General features: G+C 46.8%; 1 protein-coding gene across 1 annotated transcript; it reads right to left on the reverse strand.

Annotated features, from left to right (window-relative positions):
• GUCA1B (guanylate cyclase activator 1B) lies at nucleotides 1,290-12,962 on the reverse strand. The gene is made up of 4 exons (NM_002098.6): nucleotides 12,620-12,962; nucleotides 6,588-6,737; nucleotides 3,686-3,803; nucleotides 1,290-2,948 (listed from the first exon to the last, which is right to left on the reverse strand). Exons 1-4 carry the CDS (start codon nucleotides 12,824-12,826, stop codon nucleotides 2,821-2,823), a joined length of 603 nt encoding a protein of 200 aa, NP_002089.4. The 5' UTR covers nucleotides 12,827-12,962; the 3' UTR covers nucleotides 1,290-2,820.

Here is a 14,562-nt window from a genome sequence, read left to right on the forward strand (position 1 = left end):
TGCAGTGAGCCGAGATTGCACCACTGCACTCCAGCCTGGGTGACAGAGCCAGATCCTGTCTCCAATAAATAAATAAATACATACATACATTCAGAAGTGGGAGGGAGAAAATGAGGGGAAAAATAAGTAAAATACCAAGTCAGAGAGTGCCCCACTGGGCGGATGAGGGGGTGCATTTTGCTCATGTCCTGTCTATCACTTGGACCTCCCCAGACAAGGAAGTCAGCCAGGGACTGAGTGACAGACATGGAGGGAAGGTAGAGGTTGGTGCCGTGCGCAGCCAGGAAGAAAAAGGGAGTTGACATTTCTGCTCCTTTGGCTGGCTGCCTGTCGGGAAATCCTGAAGGTCAGAGTTGGGAAGGTGTCTGCATGTAATTAGGACATCCCTCGATGTCATTCACATACCTTCTTCATGATTTGGGGCACATCTGTGTCCCACCTGGATGTGTGTGTGTGTGTGTGTGTGTGTGTGTGTGTATATATGTATATATACATACATATGTATGTATGTATATATACGTATATATATGTAGTTTTTTTTTTTTGGAGATGGAGTTTCACTCTTGTTGCCCAAGCTGGAGTGCAATGGCACAATCTTGGCTCACTGCCACCTCTGCCTCCTGGGTTCAAGTGATTCTCCTGCCTCAGCCTCCCGAGTAGCTGGGATTATAGGCGCATGCCACCACACCTGGCTCATTTTGTAGCTTTAGTAGAGACGGGATTTCACCAAGTTGGTCAGGCTGGTCTCAAACTCCCGACCTCAGGTGATCCGCCTGCCTTGTCCTCCCAAAGTGCTGGGATTATAGGCGTGAGCCACCGCACCTGGCCTCCTGGCTTCCTTCCTTCCTTCCTTCCTTCCTTCCTCTCTCTCTTTCTTTCTTCTCTTTCTCTCCTTCTTTCTCTTTTTTTGATGGAATTTCATACTTGTTACCCAGGTTGGAGTGCAATGGCACGATTTCGGCTCACTGCAACCTCCAGCTCCCAGGTTCAAGTGATTTTCCTGCCTCTGCCTCCCAAGGAGCTGGGATTACAGGCGCCTGCCACCGCACCCAGCTAATTTTTTTTTTTTGTATTTTTAGTAGAGATGGGGTTTCACCATGTTGGTCAGGCTGGTCTTGAACCCCTGACCTCAGGTGATCCACCCGCCTCGGCCTCCCAAAGTCCTGGGATTGCAGGTGTGAGCTGCTGCACCTGGCCAATATTTTTCTAATCAATTATTTTTTACCTAAAATTGATGTCTAAAGGAAATTTTATATGACTATCATATGAAATAACACACCTGTAAAGTCTCAGGTTTAATAGGTTAGTTTTATTTCTTATATACCAACATAAAAACCTATCTATTCAAGGTAAAGCAAATGTTTTTCCAGGTCTCACTTTAAACTGTCTTATAGGAGTAACAGTGACCCAGGGCACTGGTTTTCAGTTTGCTTTTTTCAGAGGTGCCTCCAGTTCCAGAGGGTACTCAGCTCCCCTTTCAACCAGAGAGACTCCCTTTTAATCTAGTTTCTATATTGGGGTTACACATAAGAGTTTATATAACAAAAAATAATTCCACATCTAAAAACACAATAATCCAAAACTGTTCGCCTAGTCCGACCTGCTCACTGTGCTGCCAAGACATAACCAAGGTTAGGGAGGAGAAGTGGCTGTCTTGGGTCACACAGCAGTTAGAAGCCAAGCCCAGCCCACAATCCCAGTCAACAGTCCCCCAATTCTTGCCAGAGACAGACAGAAGTTTTCTCCATCCTTTAAAGAGAAACATTCAGCTTATGGCTGGGAGTTGTGGAAGGTCCATACTGGGGGATATGGATGGAAAGAGAGGATTGTTGGGGGAGTGGTGGGTTGGCAGCAGGGGGTCCCAGAGCAGCACCCAGGCAGAGCTGAAACAGTCCCTTTAAGTACAGCTGACCCTTTCAAAGGCAGAAAGACCACAGCCTGCAGCGTATTTGCTGCCATTTTTCCTGTTGACACCACTGGTGAGGATGCCTTGGGGAGGAGGAGGCCAGGGTCCTCCCCATGAACGCCCCTCAGCATCCCGGAAGTTATAGAATTATTGCTGCCCCCTGCCCCCCAAAACTCCTGCCTTTTCTTTTCTTTCTTTTTTTTTTTTTGAGACGGAGTCTCACTGTCGTCCAGGCTGGAGTGCAGTGGCGCAATCTCGGCTCACTGTAGGCTCGGCCCCCTGGGGTTCACGCCATTCTCTTGCCTCAGCCTCCTGAGTAGCTGGGACTACAGGCGCCCGCCACCTCACCCGGCTGATTTTTTGTATTTTTAGTAGAGACGGGGTTTCACCCCGTGTTAGCCAGGATGGTCTCGATCTCCTGACCTCGTGATCTGCCCGCCTCGGCCTCCCAAAGTGCTGGGATTACAGGCGTGAGCCACCGTGCCCGGCAACTCCTGCCTTTTCTTCAGTCTCAACACCCTCCCACCCCTGCCTCCTACCAGTCTTTGTGTTCTCATTTCTGATTTGGTCTGTGGGACCCTCACCCCTCAGTTGGCTCTTGCTTCCAACTGAGAACACCCAGAAACTGTGGGAGCCCCACAACCACCCAGCCAAGGCACAGTCCTCCCAGGAGCGGCTGAACAGGAAAAGTAACTGAATTCCCTTCACCATCCCAGGGACTCCTCCAAAATGGACTATGCCCTGTTGGCCACTTCAAACCCAGCAGCCCTTCCCCATCCCCACTCAGCCCTGCACAGGGGGTGCCAGGAAGTCAACACCAGGGGAAGAGTGGGCATGAGCAGGCTGAGCCAGGGACCCTCCTACTACCCTGGAAACCTGGGTGAGCCTGGAGTCGTGGAGGGGCCCCAGACTCCTCAGAACATGGCACTTTTCCGTCTCTGCTGAGCGAGCCAGCTGCTGGGATTCATGTCCATCTGCAGCATCTTCATCACCCACTTGTCCCGACGGGCACCTTCAACAAACTCGTTCAGAGACAGCTGGCCTGAGCAAGGGGGAGGAGAGGTGGTCATGTAGAAGAAGGGGAGACCTGGGTCTGGGGGCAGGAGGAGAGACCTCGCTCCCAGGATGCGCCTACACGTCTTATGCCAACTATCCTGCAGTCTCAGACCTCAAGCTTGCGGCTTGTCAGGTGTCTGAATCTCCAGGAGTCTCCTGCCACCTTTAAGGGGCTTTCTTTGCTGATGAATTGAAGTTTTACTTTTGCGCATGGTACCACGGAAATGCTGGGTGGAGCTGAGAGAGCTGGAGGGCTCAAGTGTGTATTCCAAGCCAGCTCTCTCCCCACATAGCCCTGAGGCTGGGCTTTGGGCTACAGGGAGGAAAGCCCAAGCAGCCTGAATGGAGGTCTACCCTATGCCTGCTCTTAAACACATTATCCTATTCATTCCTCTCAACCACTATTATTATCCCCATTTTCCAGATGAGGAAATTGAGACTAGGACGAGAAGCTCAATATATCACTCCCTGCCTGACTCCAAAGTTCCTATTCTTTCTATTCTGCGTGCCTGGCCTCCATCAGCAACTCCTGTAGGACTTTTAGTCACTCCTACAAACACGTGCTCATGAGTCCCTTTGTTAGTTCATGACATCTTCTCCACAGCCTTCTCACAGATGAGGACCCCAGGGTTGGAAGGTGGAGGGCCTTGCCCAAGGACGTGCGGCCAGAAAGTGGCGATGATGCAGAGTGGACAGCACTCTCCCCATCTCTGCCCCTCTTACCATCTCCATTCTCATCCACCAGGAGGAAGATCCTGTCCACGACCTCCTCGGGTGTGAGCAGCTGGCCTTGCTCAGTTTGTAGCTCTCGCCGGCAGGCTTTCTTCAGCTGGTAAATTCCCTGCCAAAGAAAACTCAGCTGCATTGACGGGAGACCCTGAAAGCTCCACCTTCACCCCAGTGACCCACATCCCCCAGCACCACTTCCCCAGTGCTGGCTTCCCAGGCTGTGCGTCTTAGGATCACATAATCTGGATCCAGATCAAAACTGACCTGTCCTAAGGCGGTGCTCTCAGAATCCCACTGGCCTAATTCCAGCTGAGTTCCCGGCCTCACACCCCACCTGACCCCAACACCATTTGCATTTCCACTGTGAGCTGCAAAGCCCAAATCCAAAACCTCTAATGAGGGAGGTTTAAGTCACCATGACAGTCTAAATTGCATTCTACACAGGAAGAAATAGAGATGCAGAGAAGAAAATTCAGTGTATCTATATAAGTGTGCCTGTATATGTGTAAAACAGAATGATGGGGATACACATGTTCCCTCCTCATGGACTGGAGGGAAAAACCCAGGTTTCTCCTTTGCCCTGTTTCCTCTCCCAATGAGACTATGTTTGTGAAAGCACCATGTAGTCTGGGCGCTGTGGCTCATGCCTGTAACCCCAGCACTTTGGGAGGCCGAGGCGGGTGGATCATTTGAAGTCAGGAGTTCAAGACCAGCCTGGCCAACATGATGAAATCCTGTCTCTACTAAAAATACAAAAATTAGCTGGGCAAGGTGGTGGGCGCCTGTAATCCCACCTACTCAGGAGGCTGAGGCAGGAGAATCGCTTGAACCTGGGAGATAGAGGTTGCAGTGGGCCGAGATTGCGCCACTGAATTCCAGCCTGGGCAACAAAGCGAGGCTCTGTCTCAGAAAAAAAAAAGAAAGAAAGAAAGCACCATGTAAATGCGGAAGAGATGGACACATATGATGGTTCTCCTTAGCTCCCAGGCTGGCGCTCCCTGAGGACAGAAGCTGCGTCTTATGCACCTCTATGGCCTCACTGCTCAGCCCAGTGCCCAGCATAAAATAGGCCTCATCGACGTGTCTTGGGAGACTGAGGGGTTAAATCCAGCCCCAGCACTTCCTAGGTAGACTAATTTGGGCCGATTACAGAATCTCTATGAAGCAGCTTCTTGCTCTGTGAAACAGGGCTAACGATGCCTGCCTCATAGCGCGGGTCTGGCTAACCCAGGGAACACGCCAGAGTCTGGGATGTACTAGGCACTTCTTTTCTTCCTTAATCATTCTTGCTAATAGAGAATGATTGTTAGTCTTTTAAAAGAAATAACTTCTGATCTTCTTGACTTTTTCTCATGCATTTGTGTTTTCTATTTTATTGATTTCTGCTGTTTATTTTCTTTCTTCTACTATCTTTCGATTTATTTTATTTTATTTTTTTGAGACGGAGTCTTGCTCTGTCACCAGGCTGGAGTGCAGTGGTGCAATCTCGGCTTGCTGCAAGCTCCGCCTCCCAGGTTCAAGCAATTCTCCTGCCTCAGCCTTCCGAGTAGCTGGGACTATAGGTGCCTGCCACCCCACCCGGCTAATTTTTTGTATTTTTAGTAGAGACAGGGTTTCACTGTATTAGCCAGAATGGTCTCGATCTCCTGACCTCGTGATCTTCCTGCCTCGGCCTCCCAAAGTGCTGGGATTACAGGCGTGGGCCACCGTGCCCGGCCAAGGGTTTATTTTACTTTTTTTTTTTTTTTTTTTAAAGACAAGGTTTCACTCTGTTGCTCAGGCTGGAGTGCAGTGGCACAATCACAGCTCATCGCAGCCTCGACCTTCCAGGCTCAGGCAATCCTCCCACCTCAGCCTTTGGAGTAGCTGGGACCACAGGTGCGTACCACCACGCCCAGCTAATTTTTTTGTAATTTTTGTAGAGATGGGGTCTTACTATGTTGCCCAGGCTGGTCTTGAACTCCTGGGCTCAAGTGATCCACTCACCTCAGCCTCCCAAAGTGCTGGGGTTACATGTGTCAGTCCCTGTGCCTGGCCTTAATTTACTCTTCCTTTTTTCTAATTTCCTGAGATGGTTTCTTAGATCATTGATTTTCTAATATATAAAGTCTTATTTTCTAATATAGTATGCAATTTCTAATTATTTCCTAAGATATATTTTCTTTTCTTTCTTTTTTTTGAGACAGGTTCTTACTTTGTTGCCCCAGCTGGAATGCAGTGGCATGATCATAGCTTACTGCAGCCTTCAACTCCTGGCTCAAACAATCCTCCCACCTCAGTCTCCCAAGTAGCTAGGACTACAGGCATGTACCTCCAAGCCTGGCTAATTTTTAATTTTTTTGTAGAGATGGGGTCTCGCTTTGTTTTCCAGGTTGTTCTTGAACACCTGGGCTCAAGCAATCCTCCCACCTCAGCCTCCCAAAGTGCTGGGATTACAGGAATGAGCCACTGCACCCAGCTTCTGTTTCCAAAATATATGCATTTTAAGTCTTATTTTCTAATATGTGTATTTTAAATCTATAAATTTTTCTGCAGGTTCAGCTTTAGCTGCATTCCACAAGTTGTAGTATGTCATGCTTGCATTATTTTTCAATTTAAGATACTTGTCGTGTGTGTGTGTGTGTGTGTGTGTGTGTGTGTGTGTGTGTTCCACAGAGTATGTGGAAGTCTACTGCCTAATTTCCAAACAGATGGGGATTTTCTAATAATCTTTTTTTGATTGATTTCTAGCTTAATTCCACTAGAAATTACACACTCAGAATGAGAACACAGGAAACACACTCAGAATGATTTCAAGGCCTCTTCTTCAGTCCCCGCTGGCCACTTGTGGCCAACCTTCAGAGCTCCAGCAGTGCTCTAGTGCCCAGGCTGCTGGCCCATGGGCAGAGACACTAACCTCCACAATGTTGAGTAGCTCCAGGCGGTCGATGCAGCCATTGCCATCCTTATCATAGATCTTGAATGTCCACTTCAGCTTGTGCTCCAGGGTGCCCCTCAGCACGAGATTCAGAGCTGCCACGTACTCCAGGAAGTCGATGGTGTTGTCCTGCATTAGATGTGGATGCTGCTGAGGGCACAGCCCACCTCCCCAGAGCATAGGCCATTCATCCCTGCAAACACAGGGCTTCTCCTCCTCCTTTTAATCCATGTGGCCTCTGTGTCTTTGCTCAAGTCTTTCTCCACCCTTGGGGTAGAGAACATTCTATCTATCTATCTATATCTATATCATCTCTCTCTCTCTCTCTCTATCTGACTATCTATCATCTGTCTATTTATTTTTAGAAACAGGGTCTCACTAAGTTACCCAGGCTGGTCTCAAATTCTTGGGCTCAAGTGATCCTCCCTTCTTGGCCTCCCAAAGTGTTTGGATTACAGGCATAAGCCACCACACCCAGCCTAGAGAACATTCTCTCTTCTCATTTTCTATGATCACCCAAGCCTACCCATCCTTCAAGGCTGAGCTCAAGGGTCCCCTCCTCCAGGAAGCCTTTATTCTCTGACCTCTTCAGCCATAGTGCTCTCTCCCTCCTCATTCTAACATCCACAGCCTCTACTGTCTATTCTACACAGCTTGGGACTTTCTCTGGCATTGTCACTTAACTGTTTCCTAGATTTGTCTTGTTCTCTAGCCATGTTATATGCTCCTGGGGAAAAGAGGGGTTGACATTGCTTGGGTTTCTCCTCCATGCCTAGCACAGTGCCACTTATGGCCAGAATTGTAAGCCAATAGATATTCATAAATCAATGAGTCAATGATGGACTTGATCTGAATTTGGGACTAAGACAGTTTTGAAGGAATTAGAAAGCAGAGCCCATGTTGAAATTTTCCTCTGCATTCTCATTCACCCCAAGTCAGAGAGAGGCAGACAGGCAGTGGCTCCAGCCCTACCCACTTCTAGGTCCCAGTGGACATTACACCGAACAACAGGCCTGTGCCTCCAGCCCATCCAGGAAGGTTGGGGAGCGCAGAGCTCAGGTGCTAATTGGGCAGAGGAAGGGGGAGAGGCACAGTCTACTTCTAAGGTGACTCTCACCAGGAAGCAACAGAACCTTCTTGTAACAGAAATGCGGCAGCAATAATGATTTCTAAAACAGTAAATAAGAAAGAGGATATATTCTTGCTTTCTTCTCCAGATGTGTTTGGGGTGACAGGCTGCTGTTGCCGCTGCTGTTGGTGGCTGCAGTGGGTTAGCTGTGCTAGTGTCTCACTTACAGGTGCTCACTTATTCCAAGGTTGGGAACTCCATTCTCCAAATCAAAAATCTGAGCTATCAGATCCCCCAGGAGTGCCTGTCATTCACATGACTTTGTTATCAGAAATGACACTGATGGCCCAGAGCACTTCTGTCCCACTGGGTCAGGCCACTCAGGAGCCCCAGCCCCAGATCAAGGGGTGCCTCAGTGAACAAGGTTTGAGCAACAGGAGAAAATGGCAGAAAATGAGGGAAACAGCAAGAAGCCTAAGGAAAAACTAAGAAGAAAACAAAACGAGCTTACCTTAGTACCTGAAGTGTTCTATTCATATCTTTTATATAATTCCTATAAATATATGGTCTCCGTACTCCCCATCATATACTTATCTAATTGAGGTCAGATTATATTTATAATTTTGTTTCCTTCATTCTCATGTAACATTTTCTCATGTCTTTAAAAATTAGTTAAAATGTCAACTTCCATTTTTTTTTTTTTTTTTGGTGGGGAGGGGGTACTGAACATTCCCTTTGTTGAATATATTTCTAATATTTTCCATTAAACAATGAACTTTTTTTTTGCACGTATACCTTTTCTTATATCTCTGGTATTTCTTTTTTTAGGGTAGACACTTAGCAATGGTTGTCAGTTCTTTAAAAGGCTATTTTCTCGAGTAGTTGTTACTTATTAAGCTTACCACAAATCAATCTTGTGTTTCTTATTTAATGAGAATTAGTTATTATCCCCATTTTATGGATGAGGAGCCTGAGACCCAGAGGTTCCCAGGCCACCCAGCCAGCAAGTGGCAGAGCTTTTCCAGGCATGCATCTCCTCCAGTGCATCACGTCGGAAGAACTTGCAGTCTCCACTTAAGATCTATTTCTGTCCAGCAAATAAGCCTAGTGCTTGGGGGTGCCAAGAGAAGAAAAACAAAAACAAAACCTGAAACCACTCACAAATCCCCACTCTCTAGATCTCCAGAGTCTTCCTCATTCTTTGTCCAGAAGCTTCTATTCCTACAACATCCTCTCTCAACATGATTCAGTTTCCATGACTCCTTGCCTTATATGAGACATATTCCAGAGTGATCTCTAGACAAGTGATCTCATCTGAGAGGTTACTGGAAACCCCAGGACCATTTCTGGGAAACGTCCAGCTGGGACTAATCTCATCTGCTATGCATGGGACCTTGTCAGCTCCAATTACCCACAGAGGCCTGAGAGTGATGGAAATGGCTCTGTCTACTCAGGAATAGGATGGGCGTGTCACCGGCTCTGTGGGATTATCTGCCCTGTTTCTCCTTGAATTGGCCATATTTGTGCACCAGCCCTGACTTCAATGCATGTTATATAAGAATCCTAAATGACATCTGATCTTCACCCTCCCCTTTCTTCCATTCCAGGCGGTCATAGGGCAACCACGAGAGTTGCAAGGGAGAGTGGCAGAGACGAGGTGTTCCTACCTTTTTGTCCCCACCAAACCGGTTTCCATCACCTCACATTTTCACGTGTGAACCACATCTATAAACACTTTTGATTGGATTTGCTTTAGAAATCTCAGACCGATTGTTCCGAAATGACACTCCTTGATATAAGGGGGAATGGAGTCAGGTGTAGGTTTGGAGACAAAGACTAAGTGGGAAAGAAGGCTCAGTCCCTGAGAGAGGAACTGAAAAACACTTTCTAGGGAGGCTCTTCCTTACAGTGGAATGCCAACTAATAAATAGAGAAGGGGTGATGGGGTTAGAAAATTATCAACAGATGCCAAAGCCAGTAGAAAATTTGACTGAACAATAGGATATTTACTTAGTCTCAAGATATATCCTTACATGTTGCTTATTAATTACAAAGAAAAAAATAGTAACTTTACAATGTTGAAACATGGCAGATACCACCTTAACCAAGTGATCAAAGTTAACTACGCCAGTGATGGGACAAACTGATGTCTTGTACCGGATGGTATGATGAACCGAGGACACAACATCACATCAGTGGCAATTCTACCAATTTAGACAAACGCCAGTTGTGGGCTGTCCTACAACATAACTCAGCTGCAGTCTTCAAAAATGTCACAGTCAAATAAAAAAGAAAAGCTGAGATTAAAGATTCCAGGTTAAAGAAGACTAAGGAGATACAACAAGTAAATGCAATGTATGATCATACAAAAAAAAAAAAAGAAAAAAAAAAAGAAAAAGGAAGGCCAGGCATGGTGGCTCATGCCTGTAATCCCAACACTTTGGGAGACCGAGGCGGGTGGATCATGAAGTCAAGAGATGGAGACAATCATGGCCAACATGGTGAAACCCCATCTCTACTAAAAATACAAAAATTAGCTGGGCATGGTGGTGCTCGCCTGTAGTCCCAGCTACTGGGGAGGCTGAGGCAGGAGAATCGCTTGAACCTGGGAGGTGGAGGTTGCAGTGAGCCAAGATCATACCACTGCACTACAGCCAGGGTGACAGAGCGAGACTCCAACTCAAAAAAAAAAAAAAAAAAAAAAAAAAAGAGAGAAAAGAAAAGAAAAGAAAAGAAAAAGGAAAAAAGAAAGAAACCTGGCCGGGTGCAGTGGCTCATGCCTGTAATTCCAGCACTCTGGGAGGCCGGGGTGGGCAAATCACTTCAGGTCAGGAGTTCGACACCAGTCTGGTCAACATGGTGAAACCCCGTTTCTACTAAAAATACAAAAATTAGCCAGGCATGGGAGTGTGCACCTGTAATCCTAGCTACTCAGGAGGATGAGTCATGAGAATTGCTTGAACTCAGGAGGTGGAGATTGCAGTGAGCTGAGATTGTGCCACTGCACTCTAGCCTGGGCAACATGGCGAGACCTCATCTCTACCAACATAAATAAATAAATAATACAAAAATTAGCAGGCATGGTGGTGCACACCTGTAATCCCAGCTACTTGAGAGGTTGAGGTGGGAGGATCCCTTGAGCCTGGGAAATCAGAGGCCGCAAAGAGCTGAAATCATGCCACTGGGTGACAGAGCGAGACTCTGTCTCAAAAACAAAAAAGAAAATACACACTGAAATACTTAGGGATAAACGGGCATGATATCTATAGCTTTCTCTTAAAAAAAGTATATGTATAAATTATGTATCATGTATATGTATATATACTTATAGGATACATTATATATATGTATGTATACAGAGAGAGGCAGAATGATAAAGTAAATGATATAAAATGTGAATAACTGGGGAAATTTGGATAAATTGCATATGGGAGTTACTTGTATCATTCTTATAACTCTTCTGTAAATTTAGAATCATAGTAAAATTAAAAAGTTATTCAAAAAGGAAAAAACATTGATGAACATCATATGCCGATTTATAAGAAGAGATGAGGTATAAGGAGTACAACTATATGCCTAGGGGCTTAATCAGCCCTTTGGATCTTGAATCATGATCGTATTGATTTTTAGATGAATCTGGGGAAGATTGATGGACTTAAATGAGTCTTATTATTTATGACCTGATATATTTGTTTACTTTTCTTACATTTTAAAAAAACATCAATTATTTTAAAAAGTCATCTTCTCTCTTTAAAAAACCTGCCTTCTAGGCAGGAGCACTTAAGACCTTGGGCAAATCGATTCATTCCCTTTTGCCCAGCTTTCTCATCATTTAATTTGGAATAACAAAAGTCTGCCCCTCCCACCCAGGGTTGCTGCTGATTCAGAGGAGACCTAAGAGAGGCGGAGCGCTGAGAAGTCCGAAACTGGCTCTGTGCCCTGTGGGGTGGTCGATGGGGTTCATCTCTAAGGAGGTTCTGTTGAATTGAAGGTGCTGACCTCACCCTCCTGTCCCGGGACAGGCACTGTGGGGACGTGCACTGACTGGTACCAGCGACAGGATGAGACCTGAAGTGGCATTCCCAGTGATTCAGCTTAGAAAGCTAAGTTCTCCACGCACTGAGGAATGGAGAACTGACACTTTCTTCAGATTAAATTGGTATTTGAGGCAAATACCAGGGCATTTGAGGTATTTGAGGTATTTGAGGATTGCCAGGGCACTGAACTGGATAACCTTAAATAATCAAGGGGTTTTTAACTGAATTGAAATTTAAAATTCAATCCCCTGGTGCATTTACAAGATGTGTTATCTTCTTAGCTGCTAGTGACATTGTGGGCTTAGAGAAACTCTAGTCTGAATGATTTAATGAAACCTTCCAGGACTTGAAGAGCTGAAAGGGGCTTTTGCAGTCATTCGCCCAGTCTCCCAATACATGCAGGAGCCTCTTCCAGCATTCTTGACAGGGAGGATCTGACCAGTCTCAGAAGAACCCCAACAAGAGGGAGCTCATAGCCCATGCTAAGATACCTTGTCTCATTTAGAACATCTCTTTTGCTCCTAGTGTTTAGAGTGACAGGGGCTCTGGCAGATGCGAAAACCCGGTCATTGGGCTGCAGAGTCTTGGTCAAAAATACACAAAGAGAGGACCTGGACTGTCTGCCAGTCGCCCTTCAGCTCTCAAGAAGAGGACACAGGGAGCATCAGCCGACAGCTAAGAGATGGAGGGAGGGAAGGAGAGACAGAGAAGATGGAAAGGGACAAAAGGAAGAGAAGAGACAGAAGGGTTTGGTGAGTGAGACAGAAAAGGTAAAGAGAGACGGAGTGGAAAGAAGAGCAGAGAAAGAGCCGAGGAGTGGGGAACTGGGAGCTCTCCCTGAGGACACTTGTGGAGGAAGGCGCCAGGTGGACTGGCCACTGGTCCTTCCCTTCAGGGTGCCTTACCCCATTCTTGTCGAAGGCTCGGAACATGCCCTCTACATACTGGGAGGCCTCCTCATCGTCTGTGACCTTGAAGAAGCGCTTAAACTCATGCATAAAGAGTGTGCCGCTGGGGCACTCCATCACAAACTTCTTGTACCACTCCTGGAGCTCCGCCACATCTATCTCGCCAGCTGCCTCCGCCTCCTCCCAGCTAAACTCCTGCCCCATGCTAGCCCTGAGGAGCATCAGGGAGCAAGGGTCTGTATCTCCTCCCTGGCTTCTGCTGATGGATCTCTCCAACTAGGGCCCTCTTCCTCCCTTTCCAGGAGGCCTGATCAGCCTCTCCATCATCTCCTGGGTGACTGAACATGATCAGTCGGTGCAGGGGGCAGGTGGCAAGGGAGGTGGGTCCAGGCCAGCTAAGCTGCCCTAAGACTATTAGAAGATTCCCCAGGTGGCCGGGTGCGGTGGCTCATGCCTGTAATCCCAGCACTTTGGGAGGCCGAGGTGGGTGGATCACAAGGTCAGGAGTTCGAGACCAGCCTGGCCAACATGGTGAAATCCTGTCTCTACTAAAAATACAAAAAATTAGCTGGGCATGGTGGTGGGTACCTGTAATCCCAGCTATTCAGGAGGCTGAGGCAGGAGAATCACTTGAACCTGGGAGATAGAGGTTGCAGTGAGCTGCGATCACACCACTGCACTCCAGCCTGGGGGACAGAGTGAGACTCTGTCTCAAAAAAAAAAAAAAAAAAAAAAAAAGAGATTCCCCAGGAAGTTCTGACCTCCAGCCTAAACTCCTCCAGCCTCACTCCTTCCCTTAGCCTTGTCAACAAAGCAACCAAGCTGGCCCTGGTAGACTCTGAAGAGGTAGAAGGGGAAGAAACTGAGAGGTAAGCAGAGAGATGCAGAGTGAAGAAAGAGTCGGGGTGCTAGGCTGGGATCCTCCCATCTCACTCACTCCCTATCTCTTTAGCTGGGCCTCACATTGCTTCAGGGAGGCCCATCTTGGAGACAGGAGACTCAAATCCAGAGAGGAAGTGAGATCAAGTCCTAGGCCATAAAACAGAATCTGCTGGTGATCTGGGACTCGCCCCTCAGACGGTCTAGTGAAAAGAGGCAGAATCTATGATGGGAAGGGCTCTAGGTGAGCAACTCTCTTCCCAGGCTAACTCGGTCCCTGAAGCTCCTTTCCAGATTACACCTTTCATCTTGGGAGCTTTTCACTTTCTGATTTAAACTACAAATGCCTCCCTCCAACCCTTCACACAAGACCTAGGGGTAGTGCCTTTTTCACATTTCCTCCAAAATACTAACATGTGAGAAGGATCTGGGAGCATGGCCTAAAATATCTTTGAAGGCTCTTACTTTTACATTATAGGTCATGTAAAATTTGCTTTTGAACAATTACATATTCATGCTTATTTTAATGTAACATAAAAATGACACCTCCAAGAAATCAAAAGACCAGGGACACACATTTTTCTTTTTCTTTGCTTTTTTTTTTTAAATTTCTATTTTTTGAGACAGGGTCTCGCTCTGTCGCCCAGGCTGGAGTGCAGTGGTGTGATCTCGGCTCACTGCAACTTCCGCCTCCGGGTTCAAGTGATTCTCATGCCTCAGCCTCCCGAGCAGCTGGGATTACAGGTGCACACCACAACACCCAGCTATTTTTTCTTCTTTTTTTTTTTTTTATTATACTTTAAGTTCTAGGGTACATGTGCACAACATACAGGTTTGTTACATAGGTATACATGTGCCATGTTGGTTTGATGCACCCAGCAGCCAGCTAATTTTTGTATTTTTAGTAGAGATGGGGTTTCATCATGTTGGCCAGGCTGGTTTCAAACTCCTGACCTCAAGTGATCCACCCGCCTTGGTCTCCCAAAGTGCTGGGATTATAGGCATGAGCCACCACGCCCAGTGACACTCATTTTTCTAGAAGACTTCAGAGGCAGCAGTTC

This window comes from Homo sapiens, chromosome 6 (genome assembly GCF_000001405.40).
Source record: "Homo sapiens chromosome 6, GRCh38.p14 Primary Assembly".
Taxonomy (NCBI): domain Eukaryota; kingdom Metazoa; phylum Chordata; class Mammalia; order Primates; family Hominidae; genus Homo; species Homo sapiens.

Bases quoted from the DNA above. Each gene is read 5' to 3' on its own strand.
- GUCA1B (NM_002098.6), bottom strand. From the start codon at position 12,826: ATGGGGCAGGAGTTTAGCTGGGAGGAGGCGGAGGCAGCTGGCGAGATA. The intron at 6,738-12,619 runs GTAAGGCACCCT...CATCTAATGCAG, and splicing joins GAGCCTTCGACAAGAATGGG to GACAACACCATCGACTTCCT. The intron at 2,949-3,685 runs GTAAGAGGGGCA...CCCCTTGCTCAG, and splicing joins GGTGGATGAGAATGGAGATG to GCCAGCTGTCTCTGAACGAG.